Genomic DNA, 7,727 nt, shown 5'->3' on the forward strand with positions numbered 1-7,727 from the left:
TGCATTTGAAGGGAATACCTTTCTAACTTGTGGAACTGAAGAGGCAGAAAGCCAGAAGCTACCCCAGATTTCACGGTGGTCTTTCAGTAGCTGTCGTATTTGCCAAATAGGAGGCTAAGCTTTACATGCATCTTACTTGTTTCTTGAAATAACCTATAAGGTTGCTAATATTGTTTCTTTTTAAAAAACAAGGATCTGAAGCCCAGAAGGTTACAGACCTTGCCGAAAGTCAAACAGCCAGTATGGTAAGGAACCTGGATTTGAACACCAAAGCCTGAATCCACTATATCACCCCAGCTGCCACTGTGAATCTGTGGACATCCAGAGCCTCAGGGCTTCCTTAAAATGAGCCTTCATCCATCGGGCTCTGTGTGTGGGGAGAGGATGGAGTTGGGCTGATGTGTCTGCCCACAATGATAAGGAAGCCAGGGAAGAGGACATTTTCCAGCCCCTGCCAACCATGCCCAGCCAGGCCCCTTGGTTTGCCCACAACAGTCTGGCTCTGCCCCAGTCCCTGCACCCTTGCCAAATGCATCTTCTTCCATTAGCCATCTGCCCCCTTGTGCCTACCGATAGCCCACAGCACATGGGCAGCTGCCCTGTTAGAGAGATAGGAGATAATATCAGTGTAGGAATCAATACATTCTCTGGCATGTCCTTTTTCCCCTAATGGGAATGTGGCAGGATCCAAAATACACTTAAACCTTATCCAAATCCACTCTGTCAGGCATTGGTGGCTTCAAAGGAAGCTTGGTACCTCCAGTTTGCACGTGTAAGCTAATGAAGCTGGGCTCTGGGTAGGTGAGCTGAGGCCTGTAGCCTGAGGCCTTGGCAGTGTCTGGAGCTGTGTGGCAAGGATGCAAGGGTGGCGCCAGGGGCCTACAGCAGCTAAGTCTTCAGAAGAGGAGACTGCCTGGAGGAAAGCAATCTTTCTTCCTGGCCAGAAGGAAAGCCTAAGGCACTTGCCATCTGTCATGTCAGGCTGAGTGGCTGACGGGCTAGTCCTAGGGTCTGGAAGTCCTGTGTACCCCCAGGGTGTGGATCTGTGTGCAAGGCACTTGGAATGAACATGAAATGAATGTGATTTTTGTGTGAAAAGGTGGCCTGACGCACATTTGAAGGCATCTTTCCGGGAGCGGGGATCAGTGAGCTGAATAATCTACACCCTCTTGACTGGTTTCGCTGTACAGGGCCCAGGGAGACCTTGGGGGCCAGGGCTCAGAGCTCAGAGGAGGACACTGCCCCTCTCTATAACACTAACTGGCCTCGGTGCACTCACACCTGCAGGCTAACACGTGGCCCCACCAGCGTTATTGCATGAGGACCATGGGTTGCAGGGAGAACTCCTTTGAGCTTCTAAATGTCACTGCCTTTAGATGGGATTTCCCTGACTGCGTCATCTAAAGTAGCAGTCCCTCACCCCAAGTCCCATCCCCATAGCTATATGAAATGACGATGAATTTGTTTCCTTACTATCTGTCTCTTCCACTAACTGCAAGCTTCCTGAGGGCAACAAGTGTGTCTCTCTCATCCATATCCTCCATGCCTAGAACCATGTCTGGCACATGATAAATGCTTAAATGTGTATCAAGTGAATGAAAAAATTAGTGGTAAATGAAGGCACCACCCTACCCGCAAACCTTCAGGTTGAGGTTCTTAGAAAGCAAACTTGGTTTTGGCATTCCTCCACTGACAGTTCCCCTGGGTCCCATCACACATAGGACAAAGGGCACATTCCCAAGCCTGGCATCCTGACTCTTATGGTCTGGTCTCTGCTGACTGCCCCAGCTTCGTTTCTCACCATCCCTCTCCCAGGCCCCCTTGTATCCAGTGTGCTAACCCACACTTCAGGTGTATAAGACTTAGGGTCCTGCTGGAAATGCAAGCTCCTGGGCCTCAGCTCCCCAGATTCGGATTCAGGTAGTGTTAGGTAGGGTTCAGAAATCATCCTCTTTTTTTTTTTTTTTTTTTTTTTTTTTTTTTTGAGACAGAGCTTTGCTCTTCTTGCCCAGGCTGGAGTGCAATGGCACAATCTCGGCTCACTGCAACCTCCGCCTCCTGGGTTCAAGCGATTCTCCTGCCTCACCCTCCCAAGTAGCTGGGATTACAGGAATGCACCACCACATCCGGCTAGTTTTGTATTTTTAGTAGAGATGGGGTTTCACCATGTTGGTCAGTCTGGTCTTGAACTCCTGACCTCAAGTGATCCATCCTTCTCGGCCTCCCAAAGTGCTGGGATTATGAGCGTGAGCCACTGCACCCGGCCCTATCATTTTTTAAAAAGGAACCTGGATGATGCTGATGGTAGAATCACACTTTAAGAAGTGATGTCTTCATCAAAGTACAAGCACACCATGGGCAGTTCACTGAAAGGGCCATGCACTTTCTCAGCTCTGCCCTATACATGGGGATTTCTGGCTGGAGGAGCCTTTGACCACTCACAATTCTCCACCCAGAAAATGCCTATGTATCCTTCAAGACACAGTTCAAGCATCCCACCTCCCGTGGAAAAAACCCTGTGTGCCTAGTGCTGCCCCCACTAGGCACATGGCTTTTTTCTTTCTCTCTCTAGCTAGTGCATCTTGTATATAACTTGTGTAGAGATCATTCTGCTATTTTTTTTCTCCTCCATCCTCCACCATCACAGTGTTAACTCCCAGAAAAACTGCTCTCATTAACTCTGGACCCCTAGGTCCCAACAGAGTGTCTGGTGTTCACTGGACTAGAATGTGGTACCCAGATATGCTTTACCAAAGTCCATCCCTCACTTCACCCCTTCCTAACTACATTCTTATTTCTGATGCTGGGTCTTTCCAGGAGTTCTCACTCCAGAGAATGGACAGCCTTGTGGATGATCGTGTCAACATCCTGGGATTTTCCATTTTCAACCAATCCCATGCTTTCTTCCAAGAGTTTGCCCAGAGCCTCAACCAGTCCTGGCAGGAGAACTGTGACCATGTGCCCTTCACTGGGCCTGCGGTAAGTACCCGCCAGAGCTCTTCCTGGTGCCCCTTGGCCTCTGCACATTGCCCCTCTGTGGGCCAACCCCTGGGCAACACATCTTCTTGGAGTCCAGCCGTCTCCTGCTCCAGTCCCAGCTCAGAAAGGGAGGTAGAGAGGTGTGGGAAGTGGTTGCAGGGTATGAGGTTTGGGAAGCAATGAGCTGTAGACAGCAGGGAGGGGGCTGTGTAGAGGCACTGAGTTGTCACTTAGTGATGGCTGCAAGTCCCCTGTGGCCAGACTCTCAATAATACAATTGCCGAGAGCTGCCTGAGTTTAGGATCCAAGAATCGGTTGGAAGGGCCTTTAAGCTGATCTGCTCCCTCATTTTTCAGATAAGGAAACTAAAGCCCAGACTGGAATGGGATGTGGAGTGGGGATGTGGGGGTCTTGTTCAAGGGCAAACATCGAGGCTGTTGCAGAGTGGAACTAGACCCCAGGAATCCTGGCTCCTGGTCTGGTGCTCTGTCCACCCCCTGGCCACTTCCTGCGTCACGGCTCATCCAGAATGGCTCCCTTCTGCCCAGTCCCTCTGCTTCCTCTCTGCAGTTCTGGCCCCTTCCGGCATGTGTGACGGGAGCAAACCTTTCCATGGCCATTCTCCACTGAGTTGGATGTTCTTCTCCGTGGGGCAGGCCAAGAATATCTGCTTGTGTACATTTGTTAAAAGGCAAGTTCTCAGGAGACTAGGATTATGTGGCTTTTTATGCCCTGTCCTAGCCCCATTATACACAATATTTTATTTTTAAAAGCCCCATGAGGCAGCCCTTGTGATGCTAACTCCAACTTCCTGAGGCAGCTACTATCAGTATCTCCATTTCACAGATGATAAAACCGAAGCCCAGAAAGGTTAGGCAAATAGCCCAGGGTCACATAGCCAGTGAGCAGAGGACCAGGATCAGAACCCAGGCCGTATGGCTTTACAGTTTATATTTTTAACCTCTGTTCCACTGTGCATCTCTCTAGGACTGTCATTTCCTTGCCACGCTGTACTGTAATTGAGCCTGGCTAGATGGAAGTACAGTGATACATGCGTAATGACATTTTGGTCAGCGATGGACAACTTATATGATGGTGGTCCCATAGATGATAATACCACATTTTTCTTGTCCCTTTTCTATGTTTGGGTATGTTTAGATATGCAAATACTTACCACTGTGTTGCTGTTAACTACATTATTCAGTACAGTCACATACCGTACAGGTTTGTAGCCTAGGAGCACTACACTATACCATATAGCCTAGGAGTGTAGTAGGCTATAGCATCTATATTTGTGTAAGCACACACTGTGATGGTCACACAATGAAGAAATTGCCTGATGATGCATTTCTCATCATGTGTCCCCATTGTTAAGCAACACATGACTGTAGTTACTAGGTATTTGTTGAATGAATGAGTGAGTGAGTGAGTCAGGCGGAATGATGAGTTACAGATAGAAAGAAGTGGAAAAGCATTAGGTCTAGGAGATGGCAATGGAATTGGGTACACTCCTGGAGTGGGAAATTCTCTGGTGAGTTTTTAAAATAGGAGCGATGCCTGTCTCTGATAAGACATGCCCAGAGGCAAAGTCATATCTAGACATCTATACACTTGGCATCTAATTAGTACTTGGCCAACACGGTGACCTTGGAGGTGGCCTGCGGAAGCCAGGGCCTGGACTTAATGACCTTTCACAAAACTCTGTGCTTTTATGATCATGCAGCCTCGTGGACATCTCAGGAAGGAAGGGGTAGCTAAGGAGGTCAGAGCTCATGGAAAACTCAGGAAGCTTTGATCCAGGGAGTGGGACAGAAGGAGCGGGTTTGAGAAAGAGTTTCATGCAGGTTTATGGAACCCATCCCAACAAGATATTTTAGACCTAAAAGAGGCAAAAATCCATGGGAAGGACTGGGAAGGGCAGCTGAAGGAAGGAGTCATGTCCATTAAATGGTTTAAGGGACAGAGAGGGACATCTCAAAGCACAGTGTCATGTGCAGGATCAGACTCAACCCCTAGCAGCAATGCAAGCCCTGTTCTCCCAGCTGCGTCTGCTGTTCTTACAGTTCTCATTCCAGTATTTTTATTTTTATTTATTTATTTATTTATTTATTTATTTATTTATTTATTTATTTATTTTTGAGATGGAGTCTTGCTCTTTCGCCCAGGCTGGAGTGCAGTGGCGCGATCTCGGCTCACTGCAAGCTCCACCTCCCGGGTTCACGCCATTCTCCTGCCTCAGCCTCCGGAGTAGCTGGGACTACAGGTGCCCGCCACCGTGCCTGGCTAATTTTTTGTATTTTTAGTAGAGATGGGGTTTCACCGTGTTAGCCAGGAGTGTCTCGATCTCCTGACTTCGTGATCCGCCCGCCTCGGCCTCCCAAAGTGCTGGGATTACAGGCGTGAGCCATCATTCCAGTATTTTAATAGGTGCTGACAAACTTGAAAGGCTTGCAGTACAATATCAAGAAAGGAGAAAAAAACATCTGTCTCTTTCCCTTCAACCCAAGCCTCACCACATTTGGCATCTGGCCTAGTGAAGTAAATGGTCCCAGGCTCTATTTCCTCATTCTCTCTAAGGGTATCTTCCTTTGCATTGATGCTCACATTGGCCACGAGCAGACAGATGAGGGTCCTTCGGTTCCTAGTGGGCTTCTTTGTAAGGATCCAGCACAAAGGCCAGGAGTGCCTTTCACAGAGCTGTGGGTCAGCGCTGCCATGGTCAGACAGGCTGAAAAGGCCACTGGCCTTGGAGTCACAGAGCCTGGAGTCAAATACTGGCCTTGACATTTTCTCACCGTGTGATCTGAGGTAGTGACGTAACCCCCGTGGGCCGCAGATTCTTTTTCCATAACTTTAGGTGAATTATACCTGACCATCTTAGAGCATTATTGTGAAGACGGAATCAGATACGATTCTATTTCCAATTCACAATCATTCACTAAGTTAATATAACAACCTATATATGCCAGATGCTGGAATAGGCATTACTAAATATATCAGGTAGCTTTTGCTACATAAATACTGTGTAACAGCCAACTCCTAAATCTCATGATACACAATAAATATGCATATACGATTCTATCTCCAATTCACAATCATTCACTAAGTTAATATAACAACCTATATATGCCAGATGCTGGAATAGGCATTATCAAATATATCAGGTAGCTTTTGCTATGTAAATACTGTGTAACAGCCAACTCCTAAATCTCATGATACACAATAAATATGCATACAATACACATTTATGTAGCCCGCGGACCTGTGGGTCAGCGAGGGAGCAGCTTGTCTAAGCTGGCTCAGTTGGGCAGCTCTGCTGCTCTGTCTGAGATCTCTCAGCATGCAAGGGTTGGCTAATCCAGACTGGGCCTACTTGGGGCCAGTACCTCTCACTCTTCCCCTGGACCAGCAGGCCAGCCCAGCATATTCTTATGGTGATGGCAGAAGGGCAGCAAAGCAAGTGGAAACGCAAAGACCTCTTAGTCCTAGGCTCCCAGAAAGGCACACTCTCATTTTCTTGGCCAAAGAAAGGCACACACACAAACTCAGTGTTAGGGAGTGAGGAAATGTACTCTCCCTTTTAGAGGAAAAAAAATGCAAAGGCACATGGTAAAAAGTCTGAATACCCGAATACAGAGTGTGTCTTAGACCATTTGTATTGCCATCAAGGAATACTCGAGGTTGGGTGATTTGTGAAGAAAATAGGTTTATTTGGTTCCTGGTTCTGCAAGCTGTACAAGAAGCATGGTGCCGGTATCTGTTTCTGATGAGGGCCTCAGGACGCTTCCATTCTTGGTGGAAGGCAAGGGGAGGGGGCGTATGCAGCTCACATGGCAAGAGAGAAAGCAAAAGAGAGAGGGGAAGAGGTGCCAGGCTCTTTTCAACAGCCAGTTCTTGTGGGAACTGGAGTGAAACTTCACTCACTCCTGTGAGAATGGCACAAAGCCATTTGTGAAGCATCCACCCCCTTTATCCAACCCACCCGGGTCACTGCCACATGAGACTTGGGACCAAACAAACCATGGCAGAGTGGGATGAAGGATTGGCTCCATCACATAGTCACACAGTGAAGATCAAAGCCGCTGTTATCCGGATGCGCCATGCAGGAGCAGGGTTCACCTCCACCTCTGGGAAGGTGACTCCTCGGCATATGTTACTCTCATGGAAGCGGAGGAAAGCCCCTGAGTTCTTCCTGCAGAGGTCGGGGAAGGCTTGCCCGAAAAGAGGGAAGCCAGTAATTCACCGCTCTTCTGTGTGCAAAGCACCAGGCAGGGTCCACAGCATCCCAATGGAGCAGGGGTCCCGTGCTGACTTGCTCAGTGGACTGGAGAGGGTGTCCTGTCCTGAGGATGCCACCCAGGGCTGTTTAAAAGATAGAAACCCTGACCTCGTTTGTCTCCTTCCCAGTCCAATGTCAGACCTCCCAAGGCCTCAGCATCTTATGCTCCCCAAGAATGCTTGGGGGATATTCAGTGAGTGGGGGTGTTCTCTGAGGCTCTCTTGGTGCTGCCGGCGGAGAACAAGAGTAAAGATGGGCTGAGCTGCACCGGCTCAAGGCTGTCTCAGGGAACCATGCGAGGAGCATCCATGTGGGCCTCAGGACTGCAGCTGGTCCTTGTGCTGATCAGATTCTGCGTCTACTTTAGTCAGCTTTCTCTCAGCCAAGCCCCTTTGGTTTTCTTGCCAATAAAATGGACGAGTGTTCTTTCTTGCTGAGGACGGCAGGGCTCCCACCCCACTGGGTTTCA

General features: G+C 48.6%; 1 protein-coding gene across 21 annotated transcripts in view; it reads left to right on the forward strand.

The window, feature by feature from the left end:
* GRIK4 (glutamate ionotropic receptor kainate type subunit 4) overlaps window positions 1–7,727 on the forward strand; it is a 477,159-nt gene that overhangs the window by 347,394 nt on the left and 122,038 nt on the right. For 18 of the 21 annotated variants that reach the window (NM_014619.5, NM_001440404.1, NM_001440406.1 and 15 more), the window contains one exon: window positions 2,818–2,979. The exons of 2 other annotated variants lie outside the window; for them this stretch is intronic. In NM_014619.5, coding sequence (NP_055434.2) covers window positions 2,818–2,979 — 162 coding nt within the window. Of the gene's footprint in view, window positions 1–192; window positions 246–2,817; window positions 2,980–7,727 lie in introns of all 21 variants that reach the window. One more of the 21 variants, XM_047426840.1, reaches the window with a different exon arrangement.

Source organism: Homo sapiens, chromosome 11 (genome assembly GCF_000001405.40).
Source record: "Homo sapiens chromosome 11, GRCh38.p14 Primary Assembly".
NCBI lineage: Eukaryota > Metazoa > Chordata > Mammalia > Primates > Hominidae > Homo > Homo sapiens.